The 23,084-nt window shown below is 41.3% G+C and overlaps 1 long non-coding RNA gene across 2 annotated transcripts in view, besides 1 other annotated feature; it reads left to right on the plus strand.

The window, feature by feature from the left end:
- LINC02934 (long intergenic non-protein coding RNA 2934) overlaps positions 1 to 23,084 on the plus strand; it is a 298,411-nt gene that overhangs the window by 240,506 nt on the left and 34,821 nt on the right. The gene's annotated exons all lie outside the window — the stretch shown is intronic.
- Positions 12,967 to 14,166: an enhancer, noted in NCBI's record as "MED14-independent group 3 enhancer chr2:66270681-66271880 (GRCh37/hg19 assembly coordinates)". NCBI's record gives its function as "activates an origin of replication core promoter dependent on BRD2, BRD4, P300/CBP and CDK7 cofactors, and independent of MED14, by STARR-seq in HCT116 cells {active_cell/tissue: HCT116}" and the evidence as "EXISTENCE:reporter gene assay evidence [ECO:0000049][PMID:35650434]".

Raw genomic sequence — 23,084 nt, forward strand, 5'->3', positions numbered from 1 at the left:
GGGGGGAGTACAATTCAACCCATAACAGAGGGCAAGTGGGTATGACACTGATTGGGGAAGGAATGATATATAATGGATTGGAATTTGAATGTCCATCTGGGGATTTTGTCTGTTAGCTGCAGGCTGATTTAGCTACATAGTGACTTCCTTTGTATCATGACCCCTTTGGGAAAAATGGAGTTACTGCAACAACAGCAGGAAATAAGTTTCTAGTGAGCCACAGGGACAAGCCTTATCCCTGCAATCAGAGTATTAAGGCTGACTTTATATACACACTGTAAGATGGGGCAGCCAGAATAGATACTGCTTCTATGGCTCAAGGAAAGGGTTGGAGGTACGAAATTATACCTCCAGATAGAGGAGAAGTTGAAAACACTTGGTTTTGGCAGAAATTTTTGGTTGGCATCATAGAGTTATTTCCCATTCAGTAGTAAAATCAAGGCATTTTATAGTTGGTACTTTTTATTGCTCACCATTTGACAATAACATGTATGTTATGTTGTTTGATTCCTAAAACAAGTTGTAAAGTAGCTTTTCATATGCCCACTTTACAAATAATAAAACTGATGCACAGAGAGGTTAGGAGACTTGTAGGTTTTGGGCCTCTGACATCCAGCACTCCTTCTTCTTTCATCTGTGCCCTCATTGAGGGACTTTCCCCCTGAAAGTCCAGGAACAACACACTCAAGCACAGTAGCTCTGGGATGTAGCAGCCACCTCTGCCTTGACAAAAATTACAAGGCCTTTTGCATGTGGCAGTTTAGCCCACTGGAGACCATTCCAGTTGCAACTAAGCCAATCTTATCATCTGTGGTTTGTCTACACAGTAGCACAATTGGCAGAAACACAGGAGTATTGGTTACTGTGCTTACAGTGACTTTGGGAACCATGACTGATCAGTTTAGACCAAAATTCTAACCACAATCGTTCTGGAAACTTGCACTGCCATGGCGAATGTAGAAACAGTCACAGTCAGAAATTGTATCTATCACACAGACGTTTTGTTTACAATTGGAACCTGAATGGACTGGTGGTTTTGACTTTCCGCAGTTATCATTACACCTAAGGCGAGAGTTCCAGCCTGCTGCAGAGTGAAAACATCCCTTTGAGGGCCTTAAAGCCATGGCATGGTCTTGAAATAAGACTATCAGTGACAGGCGTAATAATAGGTCTCCTTTAGATTTCTAATTGAGGTGGTGGAGGAAGAAATCTCCCTTGTCCTAACACCTAGTGAACAAGGTTGCTGCTGCTGAGGACTTTTCCATTGTTCTTTTCTAGAACTTTCTAGATTTCTCCTTTGTTTGGAGACTTAAATGCATGAGGTTTCCTTGAGAAGTCCTTATCATCTTGAAAGGAGAATGCTACAAAGATTGTCAACTGAAGTTTGAGAAACTGAATCACTGAGCACTGCTGTGTTGAATATAGCCCACCTTGTCAGTGTCTCTACATAGAAGAAGAAAGGGTGTTAGACATAATGAAATAGACCTCAAGTCATTTTTCTTTTCTTAGATTTTAAGTTTCAAAAAGAACAATTGCCCCAAAGCTTGGATATAGCCACAGAACTTATTCCGAGTCACAGGGGCAATTTTTTATTGCTTACTTCCCAAACATGGCACTTTGGCATTTTGTGACATAGTTTTGGCTCTGGTGTATATTGTATCCTTTGAGATTTGACAAAGGTATGGGGTAGGAGTGGTCACATGGGGTGGCTCAGGTACACAGAATCCTGCCATTTCTCCTTTGCTTGACTTGATCTCAGAGTTAGGCTGACATTCCTAGCCACATGGGGTCCTTGCAGCAGCTGCAGAGCCCAGATGTCCAGCTGGAGAAATGTGGCCCATGTCCTGTTAATCTGACAGACATGTGAGTCTGGAACAGGGGAAGTTGGCAGCTGGGTTGTCACTCCTCATATTCCTTAGAGTTGGTCAGGAGTGGGTATGTTGGGAGTTTCCAATCTGTTTCTTTCACACCCAGAGAGATGCAATAGGGAAGAAGAGAAATGAATGTTCATACTCAGACATAATTTGAGGTAGTACTCTAGGTGTTTTTTATTGCGGTGATGGTTAAGTGTGAAAAGCAGATATGATGTAACTTCCTCAAAAGTAATTGGCTGTCCAAATGAGAAAGAACAGCATTTGAGTTAGTAAGAAAAACAAATCTAACAAATAAATATGATGTGAGCCAGAAAGGAAAATGTAAGCAGTAAATCTGCATATTTGGAACTGATCAATGATTTAAAATATTTCTTTATGAATGAAGTTAAAGACTTGAACTCTAGTTCATGCAAAAAGAGACTCAGTCCTAGAAACCAAAGTCCCCCAAAGGCTGAAAATGTTTTCAACACTTGAGGCCTAATGGCACCCTTTCACTCTACCACATTTCACTGCCTTTACAGATTTTTATGTGCAGTAAATAAGAGGGCATTTTTCATTTATACAAAATTTTTCCAGATGAATTTTGTAACATATTTTTTAGATCTTTATTGATTTGTGAGTCTGTCCATTTACCTATCAGTTACATTGAAATCTTTTGTCTTTAAACAAGTTTTATTAATGACATAACAAAGAGGAGAATATAAGACTTAAGGTTATGATTTAGAATTGCATTATCCAATATAGCAGCCACTAGAAATATGTGGTTATTTAAATTAAAACTAATTAAAATTAAATTAAATTAAAAATTCAGTTCAGGTGTATTGTACTGCTTGAATATTAAAACTTACCCATCACTGCAGGAAGTTCTATTGGACAGCTCTGCTCTAGAAAGCACCTTTCCTCTTTTGAATGTAGAATCTTTGAAAAAAGCTACCTTCCTTCAGTAGCCAGAATTTTTAAGAACAGTGCTTCCTGCTTTGTCCAGCAGATAACTAAAAAGCAAGTCTGTATTGTCAAATAACCTTTTCTTGTGGAAAACCTGATTCTCCATTGTGATTCAGTGTTTGAATGGTTTGGTGACAATTAGTGTGTGTCAATCTGTACTAATATTGAGAACTGGAGTCTGTGAATCTTTTAGGTGGTCCCTGCTACTCTAAATCAGAGGTCAGTGGACTTTCCTCTAAAGTGGGTAGATAGTAAATATTTTAAGTTTTGTAGGCTATACTAGCTCTGTTGCAACTCGTCAACTTTGCCACTGGAGTCCAAAAGCAGCCATTAACAACAGGTAAACGGATGTAGGTATGCCCCAATAAAACTTTATTTACAAAATAGGTGTAGTGATAGTTTACCCACCCCTGTCTTAGAATACATTTAATGACTCCCTCAAGTCTCAAATTTTGATTAAGGCAATTAATATATTGACTAAGATTAACTAATGCTTTCTCATTATGGTGTTGTGATTATAATGTGGACAGCCAGCTATTTTCAATTTGTCTCCTTTGGGATCTGCCCAGATAAATACATACTGTTAACTTCCTTACAATATTAGATAAACTATTTTATTATTACTTGTGCATATGTCTTAGAATGCCCACCTCAGAATAGCAATAATCATAGAAAAAAATGGGCCTTGGAGAATGTGCATGGGTATCAGGGTGAGGAAGGTTTAAAACATTTATTTTATTTTATTTATTATTATTATTGTTTTTGAGACTGAGTCTCACCCTGTCATCCAGGCTGGAGTGCAGGGGCATGATCTCAGCTCACTGCAGCCTCCATCTCCCAGGTTCAAGCAAATCTCCTGCCCCAGCCTCCCAAGCAGCTGGGATTACAGTCATATGCCACCACACCCAGCTAATTTTTGTATTTTTAGTAGAGATGGAGATGGGGTTTCGCTATGTTGGCCAGGCAGGTCTCGAACTCCTGACCTCAAGTGATCTACCTGCCTTTGCCTCCCAAAAATGCTGGTATTACAGGCATGAGCCACTGCACCCGGCCAGTTGTTTTTATTTTTGGTTTTGGTTTTGTTGTTACATCAAGACCTATGTTACATGATGATGGTACTTCAACTAGTAGGACTAATCCTAATTTAAGATGTTATTTACATAAATGGCTACTGTCCTGCAATAGCCTCTATAATTCTTTTTCATCATTCTCCCTGGGTATCAGCATTACATGGTTCTGGGAGTCATTCCAGAAGGCTTGTCCAGAACCTGCTCCTGCAGCCATTCCAGTGATTTTGAAATCACTTGATTCCTTGTATTATATTTCCTCCTTCTTAAAATACAGAGTATCTGTTTGCTACCCTGAGTCCTGACTAATGCTATGGCATATATTAATTTTTATAAATTCTGAAATGCATGTAAAGTTGTTAGCTTTTTTGGAAGGCTGTGTCTCTAAGTGAGTCCCCAGCTCCATTTTTTTGAACTTTAGATTTACCTTTTCCCCATCTCTTTTGAGTGTCTAGTATGGTGTGACATTGTGCTATAATAAATATATATTATGCTGGGAACTGTGGCTCATGCCTGTAATCCCAGCACTTTGGGAGGCTGAGGTGGATGGATCGCTTGAGCTCATGAGTTTGAGACCAGCTTGGGCAACATGGCAAAACGCCATTTCTACAAAAAATACAAAAGTTAGCTGGGTGTGGTAGTGCATGCCTGTAATCCCAGCTACTTGGGAGGCTGAGGTGGGAGCATAGCTTCAGCTGGGGAGGCAGAGGTTGCAGTGAGCTGAGATCACACCACTGTACTCCAGCCTGGATGATAGAGCCAGACCTTGTCTCAAAAAAGCAAATTAAAAACATATATATAAATGTATGTGTGTATGTGTGTGTGTGTGTGTGTGTGTGTGTGTGTGTGTATGTATGTATGTATGTCTATTTGGTCTTCTCTTTGGTTCCTAACACAAAAACTTTTTTTTTTTAATTATACTTTAAGTTCTGGGGTACATGTGCTGAACGTGCAGGTTTGTTACATAGGTATACATGTGCCTTGGTGGTTTGCTGCACCCATCAACCCACCATCTACATTAAGTATTTCTCCTAATGCTATTCCTCCCTTTGCCCCCCACCCCCTGACAGGCCCCAGCGTGTGATGTTCCCCTCCCTGTGCCCATATGTTCTCATTGTCCAACTCCCACTTATGAGTGAGAACACGCAGTGTTTGGTTTTCAATTCTTGTGTTACTTTGCTGAGAATGATGGTTTCCAGCTTCATCCATGTCCTTGCAAAGGACATGAACTCACCCTTTTGTATGGCTACATAGTATTCCATGGTGTATATGTGCCACATTTTCTTTATCCAGTGAATCATTGATGGGCATTTGGGTTGGTTCCAAGTCTTTGCTCTTGTAAATAGTGCCGCAATAAACATATGTCCTGACACAAAAACTTCTAAAGCCCTTGGAATTTCCTGAGTGATAGAAGTGAGAGGAGTGTCTTTGATTATCCATAATAGGCTCCTTTCAACCATACCTGAGTGTATGCTAATGAGATGAATCTTGGTGGGCCCCTAGATAGCTTCCGGATGGGGGCTGATTGCCAGAGGAACCAACCATGTGATTAGAGGGCTGGAATTTTGAACCCCATCCCCTGACCCCCCCAAGAGGAGAGAGGGGCTAGAGATTGAGTTAATCATCAATGACCAGTGACTTAATCAATCATGGCTAAGTGATAGACCCTACATAGATATTCTAAATAAAGGGGTTGGAAAGCTCCCAGGCTGGCATACACATCAAAGTATAGTAGTATCTTGGTATCCACTGGGGGAGTTGGTGCCAGGACCCTCTTCAGACACCAAAATGTAGAATTCTCAAGTCTTGTATATAAAATGGCACAGTATTTGCCTATAACCTATATACATCCTCTCATGTACTTTAAATCAGCTCTAGATTACTTATAATACCTAATACAGTATAAATGCTATATAAATAATTGTTATGCTGTATTTTAAAAATTTGCATTATTTTTTATTGTTGTATTATTATTTTTAATTGTTTTTTCCCAAATATTTTTATCTGAGTTTGGTTAAATCTGTGGATGCGGGAACCATGGAGGGCTGATTATATTAGGAGAGTGGCATGCCCAGGGAAGGCATGGAATCTCCATGAATCCCCCCATACCTTGTCTTGTGCATCTCTTCTATTGGCTATTTCTGAGTTGTATTCTTTATAATAGGCCAGTAAATGTAAGTAAACTATTTTTCTGAGTTTTATGAGCCAGTTTAGCAAAATCTGAGAGGAGGTCATGGGAACCCCTGATACATAACCAGTTGGTCCTAAGTATGAAAGGCCTGGGACTTGTAATTGATGTCTGAAATGGGAGCAGTCTTGTGGCACTAAGCCCTTAACTTGTGGGATCTAACAGTAACTCCAGGTAGATAGTGTCAAAATTGAGTACAGTTGAATTATAGAACACCCACCTGGTGTCAGGGAAGTAGCTGGTGTGGGGGAAAAATCCCTTATACATTTGGTGTCAGAGTGTTCTGTGGGTAGAAACAAATCATAATAGATAATAATTCTCACTCACTTCCTAGATGGGAAATTTTTCACTGAGGATTGAGAGCCAATCTACTTTCCAGAGAGTCAAGAATGATTACATCCTATGAATACTAGCTCTGGACTAGATAGGAATAATGAAACTGAGTACTAAGGTCATATGATATAAGATGGCCATTAAAACTGAAGAAGGCTGCAATCCACTTAAAGGAAGCACCTATCAATCTTCAGTAACATGTATCCAATACAGTCCCATGGCATAATTATGTGGTGAGCTTCAAAGCCTTTGCTCTGTTTGCAAAATGCATTAAAGAGAAAACCCATCACCTGACTTTTAGGTTTTCAAATTAGATTGTTTCTGTTCACTGGGACCTAGCCAGCGCATGTGTGTTTTTCTTCTGATCTGCTTAACATTTCCTGAAATGCCATCCTGACCCTCTTATTTGGATCCCTAAAAGAACAGAGGTGTTCGACATGCTCCTTGTGCAGCCTTGTCCAGAAAGGATTCCCAGCTTGAAGGTTGAGGTGATATTCACAGTGCATTGTGGATAGCTTTTTCTTTTTAATTGTGATTCAGTGGAATGCCAACCAGAAGTTTAAAAAAAAAGCACATTACAAGGCATAAAGCTTTATGATTAATTATGTTGAGTTCAGATATAATTTAAACATATTGACTTGTCTGAAATAAGTGCCAGACAGTGGGGCTGGGGAGACAGGAAGTGCCTGGTGAGACTGCTGAAACAGGCTGGAAGGGAAGTCAAGGGGGGTACGGACATCATCATTTAACTGTTCTCCACGGCCGGGCAGAAAATGGCCACAACTGCTGATGGTCAGTGGAATCAAAGAGATAAATTATGGCCAAGGCATTCCTTTGAAATGAACAGAATGTTAGTCGATACTTCAACTTTGCACAATCTTAAAAAACTGGTTCGGAGACAATCCATTACAAATGATTTTTTCCCTTCATACATATGACCTGTCTAGAGATTTCTCTGAGGAACCAGAGCTGCTTTGCTGATTCCCAGTCTCGTCATTCTGAACTGGTGGAATTTCAGACTCCCTGCTTTGCGGTGGCTCCCAAGCTGGAGGTAGAATGGCACCAGCAGTGGGGAAAGGCTGCAAATTCTTGCGCGTGAATGAGGTCCAGGCTATCCCGATGGTTTCTGTAGCCGGGCTGAGTAAAAGAATGAAACTGATTTCTATGCAGCAAACTGGGACCAGATGCGTTTCTCTGTGTAGAAAGTTTAAAAATCTGACCAGCTGCTTTCAGTTTTTAATAATGGATTATGTTGTTGAGGGGCCTGCACTTACTTTGATACTTATGCATAGGAAAGCAAAATGTGAGCGTTTGGGCTAACCTCACCGGTGGATTTTGAACACACCCAGGGCATACGTGATTCAGCGTCCCCTTGAAGCTGAGCCTAACTGTTTAATGTCGTCTGAGTGACAGCGACGTCGTCCAAAGAGTCCTGGCCACAGACTCCTATTCATCCCACAGCGTGTCCCCATGATCTTCATGGAGGTTCCTCAACTCAGCTGAATTCTGATTCATATCTCAGAAATTTCTGGAAAGCTTGGGATCCAGCCTGCTGCTCTTCATCCTCACACTCAGGGTCCTTGAAACCTGCAGCTGTGCAAAAATTTTACACATGCTGGGAGAGTAGCAGCAGTTGCCTCTTGGCTAGCTTTTCAGATAAACTCCCTGTCTCATCTCTGATACTGAAACTCAAGCTCCAGGCTGTGGGGGAGAAGGCATGCTTGTAGGTGAAATCACCTTTCCCAAATGAAGCAGCAAAAGAGAAGGAAGGAGGGGTCGTTCTGCTCCTTGAGATCTCTGATGAGGGGTAAGTGTACGTGTGGGCTTCTGCTGCCTCCTCTCATTCAAGACAAAGAGCCCAGAAAACCATGTAAAACTCAGAGAAGACTCTAGGAGGATACCATGAATGGATTAAATAATATCACGTAGGATTTAGCTACCTTATTTGATTTAATTTTGGGGAAGAGGCCTGTATTAGGGTTTTTCAGAAAAACAGAACCAATAGGATGTGTGTATGTGTATATAATATATATCTGTGTGTATATGTGTGTGTGTGTGTGTGTCTGTGTATTTCATGTATATATGCAATTTTGGAGGCTGGCAATTCTGTAATTTACAGGGTAGCCTGGCAGCCTGGAGACCCAGGGAAGAGATGAGGCTGAAGCTGGAGTCTGAAGGCAGCCTGCTAGTAGAATTCCCTCTTTCTCTTTAAGGCCCTCAGCTGATTGGATGAGGCCCATCCACATTATGGAGGGTAATCTGCTTTACTCAAAGTCTACTGATTTCAATGTTAATCTCATGGAAAAAATAACTTCCCAGCAACATCTAGACTTAATCTGGCTACTTTGGTCTAGCCAAGTTAACACGTAAAATTAACCATCACAAAACCTTAGCATAAGAATATTTATATTTGTGTTTTTCCTTGAGGCAAAAGAACTGGGATGCAAAGAAAGAAGTCTCCATATCAGAGGAGGCAGTAGAACTAAATGCATTTATCACACATCTATATATTTACACATACACACGTACATACACACACATGCACACATATACACACACACCCATGTGCCCCAAGCACATCGACCTAAAAGTGCAAATGAGCATCGGGGCAAAAAAGCAATCTGGAAATAAAGGAAATCAGAGGTACACAGCCCCTACGTCTCACACATTTCCTCTGTCTGGCTAAGAAATGGAAAAATTGGCCCTGGAAACTCTTCACAACCTTCTCTCTTTCCTGTTAGAATTTCCTAAGGTGAAAGTCTGATTTTTTAGAAAACTGTTGCAGCTCAAATATCAATATGTCCAGGGAAGAAAACTTTGTACAGTGATACTCCCATCTGTTCATGAGAGTCTTTGAGAATGATGGATCACCATAATGAGAATTTTCTTCAGTGAATCCCAACTTAATGTTAAAGTGCAACAGTGGTCCTCATTCCAATTCCATGATTTTCCAAGGCAGTAAAACTTGGTCTAAGAAATGATGAAGATTGTGTCCTTAAAGACACATATGTCTTTATAGAATTTGATATACTTTATATTAAAAATAATGAATAAAAAAGGCCAGGGGTGGTGGTTTATACCTGTAATCCCAGCACTTTGGGAGGCCAAGACAGCAGATAGCTTGAGCTTAGGAGTTCAAACCAGCCTGGGCAACATGGCATAAACCCTGTCTCTGTAAAAAATACAAAAATTAGCTGGGCATGGTGGCACATGCCTGTAGTCCCAGCTACTCGGGAAGCTGAGGTGGTAGGATTGCTTGAGCCTGGGAGGTGGAGGTTGCAGTGAGCTGAGATCATGCCACTACACTCCAGCCTGGGTGACAGAGTGAGACTCCCTCTCAAAATGAACAAACAGGAAAAAACAAAACACAACAAAACAACAATAATGAATGAAAAGCTTTTTCTTTTTTCCAAGCACCTAGAAGAAAGTACAGCAAACTTTGGTGATGTTGAAAGAAAGTGATCTGACAGGTGTTTTTTCTTCCTCTGACTCTTGGCCAGTGTTGGGACTAGTGTTCTGTATGGTCAGCCTCTGGATATGTCTTCTTTGTCCAGAAACAAGATACATATCCGGGGGACTATGTCCATGCCCTGGAGTGGAGATTTTTTTCCATCTTGTTACAACTAAGCCACCACTTTGGCCATTTCTGTAAGATTCCTTCAGAGTGTGGGATTAGATGGCTTGTAAGGCTCACTTCCAGCCCTAAAGCCACTGATTCTACTCTCAAATGGTTTGACTTCAGCCTCCCTGCATTTCTGATGGTTGCAGTAGCCTGAGGTCTTTACTACCAGAATCAGGCCACTGATGGAGACCCTAAAGTGGGAGGTGACCTCTAGTTTATTTCCTCTACATTAGAAAAAATAAAACTCGGTCAGGCACGGTGGCTCACGCCTGTAATCTCAGCACTTTGGGAGGCTCAGGTGGGTGGATCACCTGAGGTCAGGAGTTCGAGACTAGCCTGGCCTACATGACGAAACCCCATCGCTACTAAAAATACAAAGATTAGCCAGGTGTGGTGGTGGGTGCCTGTAATCCCTGCTACTCAAGAGGCTGAGGCAGGAGAATCATTTGAACCTGGGAGGCGGAGGTTGCAGTGAGCCGAGATCATGCTGTTGCACTCCAGCCTGGGTGACAGAGTGGGACTCCATCTCAAACAAAAATAAATAAATGAAAAGAAAAAAAATAAAACCCACAGGTTGCCACCAATCACTGGTTAGTTGTCCCTTGAGTAGGGTTGCCAGATTTAGCAAATAAAAATCCTTAGCACTAGTTAAATTTGAACTTTAGATTAAGAAGGAATGATTTCTTAGTGTAAGTATATCCTATGCAATACTTGGAACATACTTATGCTAAAAAAGTATTCCTTGGTTATCTGAAATTCAAATTTCACTGGAAATTCTGTATTTTATCTGGCAATCCTATTCTTGAGGAGTCCCATTTTGACTGCACCCCAGGGCAATGTGGATCAGAGATTTCATTTTATTCCCTGTGGGTTTGTCTCCCAAGTCATTCTCCCATGACAACATTTCAGCTTCCTCCTACTCCACAGAGATGCTTGCAGTCACTGCTGTTTCCCTATCTTGACTTGCACTTTCTTGCTTCCCAGTGATTGCCTAGGCTTCACTTCTACCCGAAAGGTTTACATTACCAATTTTTGTTCTTTCTTAGTTTTTCCTGAGTACTGTGAACATTTCAGAGCATCAGAGTTTCTGTGTTGTGAAAAGGGGCTGTACATGCAAATACATTCAGGTGCCATAAGGCAATATTAATGTTTGAAGCAGGCCTGGTGACACTAGACCAACAGCAGAGTACAGGCTCTTCCTAAAGACATTTCCAAATGCTCTGTCAATCACTGTGCTGGCTGAACAAGGCATGTCTGCAGCATATGTGCTGCCATCTTGCATCTTCTGGTTTAGGGCAAAGTGCTTCCCACTTTTCCTTTGGAACACTTGGGTCTTGCAAAATATTGAAATAAGTCTGAGAAACAATGAGTATCGCTCTTGAAAAGTGTCCATGCCACACTCACTAACTAGACCTGAGTAAGCTCCAAGAAGGCAGGAACCATGTCTGTTATGTTCACTGCTTTAACCTCAGAGCTTAGGCTACAGAAGGCTCTTAATCAGTATTTCTTGAGTGAATAAATGAGGAACGAAGCCTTAGTCATTTGCTATCTTCTCTGTCTTACTCATCATGAGAAACCAATATTTTAAATCTGAATTTTGGATGAAAACCAAGCTGCGCAAGATTGTTATCGATTCTTGTGGTTGAGAAATTAATGTAACATAAAACAAGACACCTAAACTTTAAACCTGAGCCTTGCTAGCTGAATCTGGCCCTAGGATGTATTTTATTTGGCTAACACAGTGTTTTGGAAACGTGAACTTTTATGCCTTGAGACAGACATAAGTTGATAGCTCACCAATGTCTTCACTACTCCCTATTGTCTCATTAGCTCTCTCCCCTTACATCACTTACCTTGCCTCTAGAGGCATTTGAGTTTCAGTGTCTGCTAGGGGATGATTCATCAACTTTAAGAACGCAGATTTTGATGTAAGACAGTTTTAGATGTGAATTCTCGATCTTGCACTTACTAACTAAGTAATAACTTTAGACAAGTTAGTAACCTCTTGGAGCCTCAGGTTGTTCATCATTTGTAAGAAAAAAATGCTGATAATAATAGTACTTACTTCTTAGAGCTGTTAAAAGTATCAGATGATACAATAAATGTAAACTGCTTAGCACATACCTGGCACACAGCAAATGTCCAACAAGTGCTAACTATTTAATAATAATAATTGTTGTTGTTACTTCTGTTTTAGTTTCACATGTATGGAGACCAGGTTTTGAAATGAGCAGAGTGGCTTTCAAGAAATTCAGAAATCAGAAAATGTCAATCTCCTCTGTACCAAATCTAGAGAGAGGACAGCTGAGGAATGGATATTTCTCAGTCCATTTGCACTGCTATAATAAAATACCTGAGAGTGGGTGATTTATAAACAACAGAAATTTATTTCACACAGTGCCAGAGGTTGGGAAGTCCAAGATCAAGGTGCCAGCAGAATTGGTGTTTGGAAAGGGCATCCCTCCTACTTTCAAGATGGTGGCTTATTGCTCTGTCCTCACATGATGAACAGGAGAAGGACAAAAAGGGAAGAGTGCTCTCTTCAACCTCTTTATAAGGTCATTAAGTACATTTATGAGGGCCCTGCCCTCATTACTTAATCACCTCCTAAAGGCCCCACATCTGAATATTTTCACATTTGTGATTAAGTTTCAACATACGAATTGTGGGGATACATTCAGACCATAGCAATATACTTGCTTATTATTGTGTTTTGCTCACTGATATGTTTCTAGCACCTAGAAAAGTGCTTCACATACAGTAAAGGCTCCATAAGTATTTAGTCAAATTAATGAATGAACTGTAGACTTCTGGATGGCTCTCATTATGGTCATACCTCATGAATGTAAGCGGCTTGTCTTTTTCTAATGAATCCCTATACTTGGGCAATCAACTGTCTGTGTGAAGATGGTGCACAGCCTCACAACTGGAATTGCAGCCAAGGGCTATCTATAAAATACCCAGTAAAGCCTTTAAGATGATCTCCATGGATTCTTGTGACCCCTTTGTAAACCCTGTACTTTAAATCAGGGCTGGTTGGTGTGACCAATAGAATATGGCAGGTATAACAGTATGTGACTTTCAAGGCCCAGTCCAAACAATAAAAAGAAAATGTATTGGAGTTTACGCCTTGGGGTCTCTTAGATTGCGTGCTCTGGAGGATGCCAGTCACCAAGTTGTGAAGATATCCTTGCAGTTCTGTGGAGAAGCCCATGGGAGAGGAACTGAGGCCTTCTGGCATTAGACATCACCACTTGCCAGCCATGTAGGTGAGTTACCTTGGGATCAAATCCACCAGCCCCAGTTAAGGTAGGCTAGGCCCAGTTAAGCCTAGGCTGATGTCTGATGCAACCTCCAAAGGGATCTTGAGCAGACTTGCTCAGCCAGGCCACACCTGAATTCCTGACCCTCAGAAACTGCGAGCAATGTCCAGAAAAACAATTATTATTTTTGTAAGCCATTAAATTTTGGAATAATTTGTTATGCAGCAATAGATAACTAATACACAAGGAATTTGACTCTGACTGGTGTTTCGGAGTGTATTCCTGATAGATTATCATTTAAGTACAATAAATACTGACATAAAATAGTTTTATGTGCATTATTGACAAGTATTTCATAGACCTTTGCATTTATGATTTATCATAGACCTTCATTTTCACAGACCTTGTTACATTTGTCACTACCCTCAAGAGGTTCTTAGATGCACACGGCTTATAGGGAGCAGCCCGACCATGCCGATCCTAACTCCTCAAGCCTGTTCTTTGGAAAATGAACATATGAAGCATATGAAGGGCTCCAAGGAACAATGAGAACAGAATATTCCTGGGCTGGGCACAGTGGATCACATCTGTAATCCCAGCACTTTGGGAGGCTGAAACGGTGCTTTTGCTTGAATCCAGGAGTTCGAGACCAACCTGGGCAACATAGCAAGACTCTCTATCTACAAAAATTAGAAAAAAAATCAGCCAGGTGTGGTGCCATGTGCCTCTCTAATCCCAGCTACTTGGAGGCTGAGGTGAGAGGATCGTTTGAGCCCAGGAGTTGGTGGCTACAGTGAGCTATAATGGGACCACTACACTTTAGCCTGGACAACAGAGTGAAACTCTCTCCAAAACATAAAGAACATCCCTGAACAAATGAGTCAGATGATCAAGAAATACCAGTGAACACTGAGCATCTTCTATTCACAATTCAGTGTGAAATAAAAAGAGTGATGAGTCATTTAGAATCCAGAATCTCCCAGAATCTTCCAGAATCTGGTGAGGGACATAAGACGTACCTGAGGAGTGAATGAACAATTCATGGTGTTCAGTCAGTGGCCAGCCCACACCTGCAGTACTGTGGTCCATTCTGCCTGTGACATATTTAGAAGGTTATTGACAAGTAAGAAGACAGCCTGAGGATGTTCTCTGTGAGCAAATAGGGTCATTGAACGTGCAGGAGAGAAGCTCAAGCAAAATGGAAATGACTGCCTTCAAATATCTAAAGGCTACCACAAGGAAGATGGATGCACCTGCTCTGACTTGTTCTTGAGCACAGAGCAAAGACCAGTAAATGAATTTACAGGAGGGTCAATCACTGCTGGCCAGCACAGCAGAGAAAGCTGCTATCACTGATGGGTTGCAAGCAGTGGGTGGTGGCCGTGGCTCAGAGATGCTGCAGATGGGTTTGCTATGTGGTGTAAAAGATCATCTCTGCATTTCCTCATCACTCCATGTGAGAAGGCATCATAGAAAAAGAATGGGCTTCAGAGTCAGACAAAAGGGGTGTAGCTCCTGAATCCACCATGAAATGCCTTGTGAACCTAGGTAAGAAACTGAGGACAGTTTCCTCAGTTTCTCCATCTGTAAAATGAGGTATAACAATGCTTGCTCCATTAGCTCACTGTCAAAGCAGAGATAGTGAGATCACACATGTCAAGTATGTAGTACATTTATGGAGCTCACCCAATCCAATCTGAGTGGTGTCCTTTTAAGGAAAGAAAATTTGGACACAAGAGAGGCACTAGGGATGTGAGTGCACAGAGGAAAGACCACATGAGGAAAGAGCAAGAAGACAGCCATCTGCAAAACAAGGAGAGAGGCCTCAGAAGAAACCAATCCTGATGACTACACCTTGATGTCGGACTTCCTGCCTCCAGAACTGTGAGAAAATCACTTTCTGTTATTTACACCTCCCAGTTGGTGGCATTTTGTTCTGGCAGCCTGAGCAGACTAGCACAGGAGGGGATGCGCTTTATGCTCTATCTTAGCTCCAGCTCTCAGGAGCAAGTCTTCTGTGGGTGAAATGGGCATCATCATCCAATCCGGCAGCAGGGTGTGGATGGCAGAAACTTGACCTGCACATGGTAAAGACAAGCCAAGTACAGATCAGAATCTGGGCCAAGTGCACCTGGGCACTCTATTCTTGGGTTGAAAAGACAGTACAGTGGTATAGGAGATGTTGGTGATGAAAGCCCTGAATTTTTTTTCTTGTGTCAAAGTGCTCCTATCTGAGCTGCTTGCCATTGTATCTAGTATTCAGCTGTTATCCTAGAATCCTCCTTCATCGTCCTCCTGAACTTTCTTGTTGGGAGCTTATGGGATCCACTTTCTATCCCTGGTGTTCTGAAATTTTCTAGTGATGTGCCTTGATGTGGACCTGCTTTCCCTCTATGTGCCTGGGACTTAGTGACCCTTTTAGTCTCACAACTCATATCCTGGAGTTACGAATTTTATATTGTGATTATTTTGTTGATGATTTCCTCTCATCTATTTTATTCTTCCTCTCTTTCTGAAACTCATTGTTAACATGTTCAATTCCCAGAATTGGCCTTTTGTCTGTTTTCCAACTCTTGCTCTGTTTTCTGAAAGAGTTCTTCAACTTTATATTCCAGCCTGTACTTTGAATTTTAAAAATTTCTGTTCATATATTTTTAATTTCCAAGAACCTTTGTTAAATTTTATAAATGTTCTTTTTTTATAACTTTCTAGTTTTGCTTCATAGATACAATATACTGTCTTATCTGTCTGAAGATATTATTGATTTTTTTTGAAGGTTCTTCAACATGCTAGTGTGTGTGCCTGTGTGTGTGTGTGTGTATGTGCCTGTGTGTGTGTGTGTCTCACCTTTCATATTACAAGCTTTCTTTAGAAATTTGGTAATTCATGTCTATCTTCCCATGCCTAAGATTGGGGAGCTAAACAGATGATAACAATTCTGAGCATGTGGGTGTGGCTTGTGCACTTTGAGTTTGACTGTAGAGTAATTTGGCCTGTTCTTTGGGGAAAGGCCTGAAGTCAGCATCTTGTAGATCTTTCCTCTTGGGCTGATCCAATTCCCCACAGAGGATTTTCTAATCTCCTGCATGGAGGACAAGAGTTTGGCTACCAGCTTCTGGGATCCAGTAGGGAGGAAGGCTGGGTCTCAGCAGCAGCACTGATGTGTTTCTTTTGGCCCAGCACCCATGTCCTCAGCTGCCATGGCAGCTCACAATCCAGAGACCCTCTGTTACACCTTCCCCAGAAAACTATTGTCTGTGTGTCGCACCAGTTGCGGAAGGGGATCCTTACAGCACCTTGGAGTATTGGAAGGAAATTAGAGATTATAATCTAACTCAAAAAATAAAACAAAAAAAATTTCATCAAACAGCTTTTCCCCAATCTTCCTTACATTAATCTTCTCTTTGTCCTCAGTTCCAGATAGACCTGGAGCTGCACTTTGCTGAATATTTTGACGATTTTGCAGTATAAATAAGGTTGGGTCTCAGCTTTCCCCTCTGCCTGTTTTAGGTCTGTTCGATTGCTGACTGGCTTTCTAGCTTTCAGAGTTTAGTTGTCATTGTCTCCTCTTCCTTTACATCCTTTGCAAAACATATTCCTTTACTATGGTTTAGGGTTTCTGAAAGGAGGGAAGTCAGATGTACATTCAACCCACTATGTGAGCTCAGTAGTCTCCCTGTTTCCTGTCTCTGTTCTCTTCTCACCTGGATTATTTTGCTCTACCTTTGCTCATTAAAATCTCAGCTATTATAAAGGGTCAGCTCCAATGCCATTTCTCCATAAAGTGGTCCAAAGTGTGGGAAATCTTACGATTTTTCTTTTCTCTTGGCACTTACCTTACTCTCTGTGATACCCTCCTCCTGTATGCCAACACACACACACACACACACACACACACACACACACACACACACACCCACTACAAGGTGGTAGGTAAATAAATAATAAATGACATATTAATATTACATTAAGATACATGATCAAGTTGTATATGTTTCTAGATCTTATAGTCACTCTCTGGATTATAAATTCTGGGGCTCATGGGCAGAGCTTGTGAATTGGGTCTGGTTCCCAGCTCTGGCAGTTTCTCTTTGTGAGTCCTTGGGCGTGTCATTTTGTCCTCAAAACAGAATCAGCAAAATTAGGAGATGAACACCAGAACCTATAGAACTAGTCATAATGGTCGAATGCAGCAACACATGGAAGGCATGCCTCCCATATTGTTTACCTACTGCTATTATTATTCCCTTTCTCCCTCACAGTGTTCTTTTGAAGCTCAAGGATTTTATTGAATGTGGCAGTCATCATGTAAATGTAATGTACTGTGAGATATCAGTGGGTATTTTTGTGACTCATCTGGGTGCTCCCTGAAGAGCCCTGCAGAGTGCCTTTCACACAGTAAGTGTCTGAGGAATATCTGTTGAAATGAGCAAAACATGTCAATATTTAGGGAGTTGTACTATATGAAGGCACAGATGCACAGTCATGCATGTGTGTTTTGGTCATTGGAGAGGTGGGTATGCTCCATTTGTTCCAGGATATTGAAAAAATAAAACAATTCTTCTGGCAGGTTAGCCTCCTTCTTTCTGAAGACCCAGTGGCTGTGTGCTTTCGGCTAAATGTTGTCATCCTCCAAACCCAGAGAAAGCAAAAAGCAGGGGTTGGAATAATCATGTGCAAAGAGGGAATGATATGTCGTCTCATTGTTTTAGAAGTTTTATAAGCCTAGAAGCATTAAAGACGAGTTGCAACTTTGAAAACCACCCTGTTGAATCACGATGATCTCAAACTCTTTCTTGGCCTCCCCTTTTCCTGTGTGCATGTGTGTGTAATGCTTAGTATTTATGTTTGCCTGTTTACTTAGGTCATTTATATGAACACAGGCGCTGTGCTGTGTAAGAGCACATCAGCTCTTGCTGCTAACCCTTCACCTGCAATCTTAAGTCTCAGTTTATGAAATCATAGTCATTTGCCAGGGAGGCAATCATGATGTCACAAGCCAAGCACAGTGACTTCAGGTGGGTAATCAACTGAAGGAGCAGACTGACTTCTAAGCAACAAAGATCCCATTATCATGTAAATGTTCTTAGTAACCAAAATTACAGAAGGAGAGACATATAATGTAAGACACTGGCACATCAGCCTCCCCTGTGCTGCTCAATGCGATCATTCTCCAAGCGTTCCAAGAAAGATGTGTCTTGTAAACACAGCTGGTAAGAGGTAGAAGACGAAACCACAACAAAATGATTTTTCTTTTTAAGCAGCGAAATCCAAACACTGTCTTTTAAAGGGTCTGATTAGTGAGTTTGTAAAATATCTAAACCTCTTGAGTTGTCAAATTTTAACACTTGGTTTTGTTTCTCCCTGTAGGGCCTTGAATCAGTGCCTTTCAAACTTAAATGTACATTTGAGTCACCTGGGAATGTTGTTAAAAATACAGATTCTGAGTCAGCAGGTCTGGTGTGGGGCAGCAATCTTTTTTTTTTTGAGACAGGGTGCCACTGTCACCCAGGCTGAAGTGCAGTGGCATGATCATAGCTAACTACAGCCTTGAATTCCTGGGTTTAAGTGATCCTTCTGCCTCAGCCTCCTGAGTAGCTGGGACCACAGGCATGCGCCACCGCACCTAGTGAAAGGATTCTGTATTTCTAACAAGCTGTCAGGCAATGCAAGGCTGTCAGTTCTTGGACTTCACTGAGCGATAGCTTGTTTTGTTTTGTTTTTGAGACAGGGTCTCGTTCTGTCACCGAGGCTGAAGTACAGTGGCACAATCACAGCTCACTGCAGCCGCAACCTCCTGGGCTGAAGCAATCCTCCCATCTCAGCCTCCCAAGTAGCTGAAACTACAGCGCCACCACAGCCAGCTAATGTTTTAATTTTTTTGTAGAGCCAGGGTTTCACCTTGTTGCCTGGGCTATTCTGGAACTCCTGGGCTCAAGCAATCCTCCCGCCTTGGCCTCCCAAAGTGCTGGAATTACAGGGGTGAGTCACTATGCCTGCCAAACTTTTTAAAGTCAGAATCCAAATTTAAAGTTAAAATAAGAATATTATGGCTGAAAAGGTGTCAGGGACATTTACCCTCTGTGTACCAACATTAATACTGCATTTCTCAAATTCTAAGCTATATGTTTCTTTGCATGTTCACTTTTCTGAAATTGGTGTGTAGCAATCATATTAACAAATTGTATAGCTAGTAAGCAAAGATTAATTTGTGACATCTGAGTTGTTGCCTGAAGATGTGTGAAATGTGTGGTCTGTACAACTTGTTTATCCATTTGTCACCTCAGTTGTCTGTACTGGGGTACCACATAGAGGTCAAATTTCCTCACTAATACTTTCATAAAACACTTGTTTCCACATTGAATTCATCTGGAAAGCTTTAAAAACTTTGGTGCCTAAGTCTCAGACCCAGAGATTCTGGTGCAATTGTTCTCCCCAGATGATTCTAATGCACAACAAACTTTGAGAGTCACTGTGTGTCAGTATCTTCACAATGATCATGAATTACAGACCACAGAGAAATGCATTATTGTGTACATATCAGGCAATGTAAAGGAGACATCATCACATGTCTTATGGACATCATAGACTTCTCAAAGCTTGGAAAAGTCATTTAACCAGTTTGTGGGTTGAACAGGAATCTCAGCCAGGTGGCGACTGTCTCTCAGTGAAGAGCTTTCTAACTACACTCCAGAGATGTTGTTTCACGTCCAGTGAGATATCAAAACTATGAGTTTACCCAAGTCACAAATGCAGACGAAATCCTGGTTTCACTTGGTTTGCCTCCAATTCCTGCTAAGCCTGAGGATGCAGAGGTCAAAGGCACTAGCACGGGTTAGGAAAGCCCCATTTCATTGTGATACTAAGCATGGCTGCACGTGGCCAAGAGTGGGTCCCAAAATTTATTTCATTCCTAATGTGAAAAAATCTTGGACTCAAACTTAAATTGCACTACTAAAGTTATGTGTCATTGCCAATAAATATACTAATATTTGTTAATAACATACAGCATTTACTTTTTGTTAAATCAATCATGTGGCTTTAGACCCCTGGAATCTTTGATTTGAGGATACAACAAGGAGCACAACCCAACAACATCATGTATTCTGTATTAGGGACCAAGCTCTAATTTTATATTGCAGTATCTCATTTGATTCTTGTAATATCCCTGCTATGTAGGAAACATCCCCAGTTTATAGAAGCAAAAATTAGGGCTCTGGGGATCCATTTACATTTTCTATTAAGTGTCCAGAAGCAAGCCATGCAAAAAGTGTCTTTCTGGGTGGCTGGGATCTACCAGCTGATAGCAAAGAATCTCTCTGTGATAAAATGACTAAATTAGGGCTCTGCAAATCGTGTTTACCAGAACCCTAAGATTTAGAAGAGGCCTCAAGGACCCAGAGAAAGGGCACATGGAGCAGAGAAGGGCATTGTTGCAGATAGATAGAGGAGAACTTGCTTGCAAACACTTGCAAGGCACTGACTTAAATAACTCCAGTCAGACAGCGATCAATCCTCAAACACCTTTAGGTTTTTTTCAAAATCCAAGGAAATTGATGCCTGGCATCTGTTAGCACTATGATTATTTTGAATAAAACTAGTTAAACTTACTGGGTGTAAGAAAGATAATTGTGGAAAAGGTACTTATAAAATTAATACAAATAATGATTATTGAAAAGTAACCAAAATTTACTTTTAATACAAATAATAAATGATTTTTTTAAAAAATTAACCTTAGAGATTATAGAGTCAAGAGATATTCAAGCTTATATTGAAGTGGAATGCATTTTGCAAACGAATCTGATGTGGCATCCTAATAGACAAAAGACATAAACTTGATAAGATGCACAACTCTGCCAGATTCCCAACCCACTCTCCACTGCCATTTATATTGAAGTGGAATGCATTTTGCAAACGAATCTGATGTGGCATCCTAATAGACAAAAGACATAAACTTGATAAGATGCACAACTCTGCCAGATTCCCAACCCACTCTCCACTGCCATTAAGGAATGGGATCCCTGTCCAAAAACACAAGCCTCCTCTCCTCTTTCTTGCTAGGCTCCTGGTGCTTAAAATCAGAACCATTTTCACTCCTTCATGAAGCAAAGGTAACCCTCCACCCACCTGACAGTCCATGAAAAAGGTTGTATTGTTTTTCACTAAAGAGCCCTTGTTATAAAAGAGATGCTTCGTGAGTCAGCTGGAGACGAGGTTTCAGCTGTCGCAAGCACCCCTGAGCCCTGTCTCTGTGTCCCTGTGACACCATCTTTGACAATCTGACCTCTATCCTCCAGAGAATGGCTGAGAAAAATACATCATAAGCTGGAGTTCTCATGAGATAATGTTCAAAACTAGATTTGCTGATCTCAACAATCACAACTGGTTTCTTTGGGTGGGTCAGGTGTTAGTTCTTACAGAATAGAAATGGCAAACACTAAATGTTTCTTGGCCAAGGATTCCATGGTCAGTCCAAGCCTGTGATACAGGTGCCCTACCAGTCATTAGGCTTGGGCATATATATATATGGCATATATTCATATATTAGGAGGAAACAAACTGGTTTTAGGATCTCATTCTGCACACACACACACCCTTGGAAGGAGGGATAGTTCTGGGAGGGGAGGACATGGAATTAACTTGTTTGCAAGTTAGGCCATGGGAAGAATAAAAGCAGCTTGAGGAGGAGGAGTATTGGGGAGATTCCCCAAAGAAGGGGAGAGCACTTGGTTTGGTCAGATTGGCATCACTGAGGCCCACAGTCAACTCCTCTATCCTGGTTATGACCCAGGGCTGATGGACCTCAAAGTGGAACTGGTACATAGAGAGTAGCAGGGCTGGGCCAGAGATGCAGGGGTTTCAGCCGCAGCAGACTCATATAAGGAGATGCTGTGGATGTACTGCCCCAGATGCCCCCAGCCCACCTCTAGGTTTGCCTGTAGCCACTTTGGACAGTTCACATAAACACTGACAAGCTCCCATCTTAAGTGCCTGACCTCATCTAAGGCTAACTTCTCCTCTTGTACGTTTTATCAGCCATCTCCTCAGAGATTTCAATTCTGCAATTACAGTTGACCTTTAAACAATGCAGAGGTTAGGAGCACAGTCAAAAATCCACATGCAACTTTTGACTTCCCCAAAACTTAACTACAAATAGCCTACTTATCTTAGTCTGTTTTGTGTTGCTGTAAAAGAATACTTGAGACTAGGTAACTTATAAAGAAAAGAGGTTTATTTGGCTCATGGTTCTGAAGGCTTTACAAGAAGCATGGTGCCAGCTTCTGATGAGAGCTTCCAGCTTCTTCCATCCATGGCAGAAGGCAGAGGGGAGCCAGCATGGAGAGAGGGGAAGCAAGGAGAGGGGAGGTGTCAGGTTTTCTTAAACAGCCAGTTCTCATGAGACTAATAGAGTGAGAACTCACTCTCCCTCTTTCTAGGGAGGGCATTAATCTGTTCATGAAGGATGCATCTCCATGACCCAAATACCTTCCACTAGGTCCCCACCTCCAACATTGGGATCAAATTTCAACATGAGGTTCGGGGGACAAACATCCAACTATAGCACTACCATTGACCAGAAGCCTTACCAATAGCATAAACAGTCAATTAACACCTACTTTGTATGTTTCATATATTATATACTGTGTTCTTACAATAAAGCAAGCTAGAGAAAAGAAAATGTCATTAAGAAAATCATAAAGAAGAGAAAATATATTTACTATTCATTAAGTGGAAGTGGCTCATTGTAAAGGTTTTCACCCTCATGGTGTTCATGCTGAGTAGACTGAGGAG

This window comes from Homo sapiens, chromosome 2 (assembly GCF_000001405.40).
Source record: "Homo sapiens chromosome 2, GRCh38.p14 Primary Assembly".
Taxonomy (NCBI): Eukaryota; Metazoa; Chordata; class Mammalia; order Primates; family Hominidae; genus Homo; species Homo sapiens.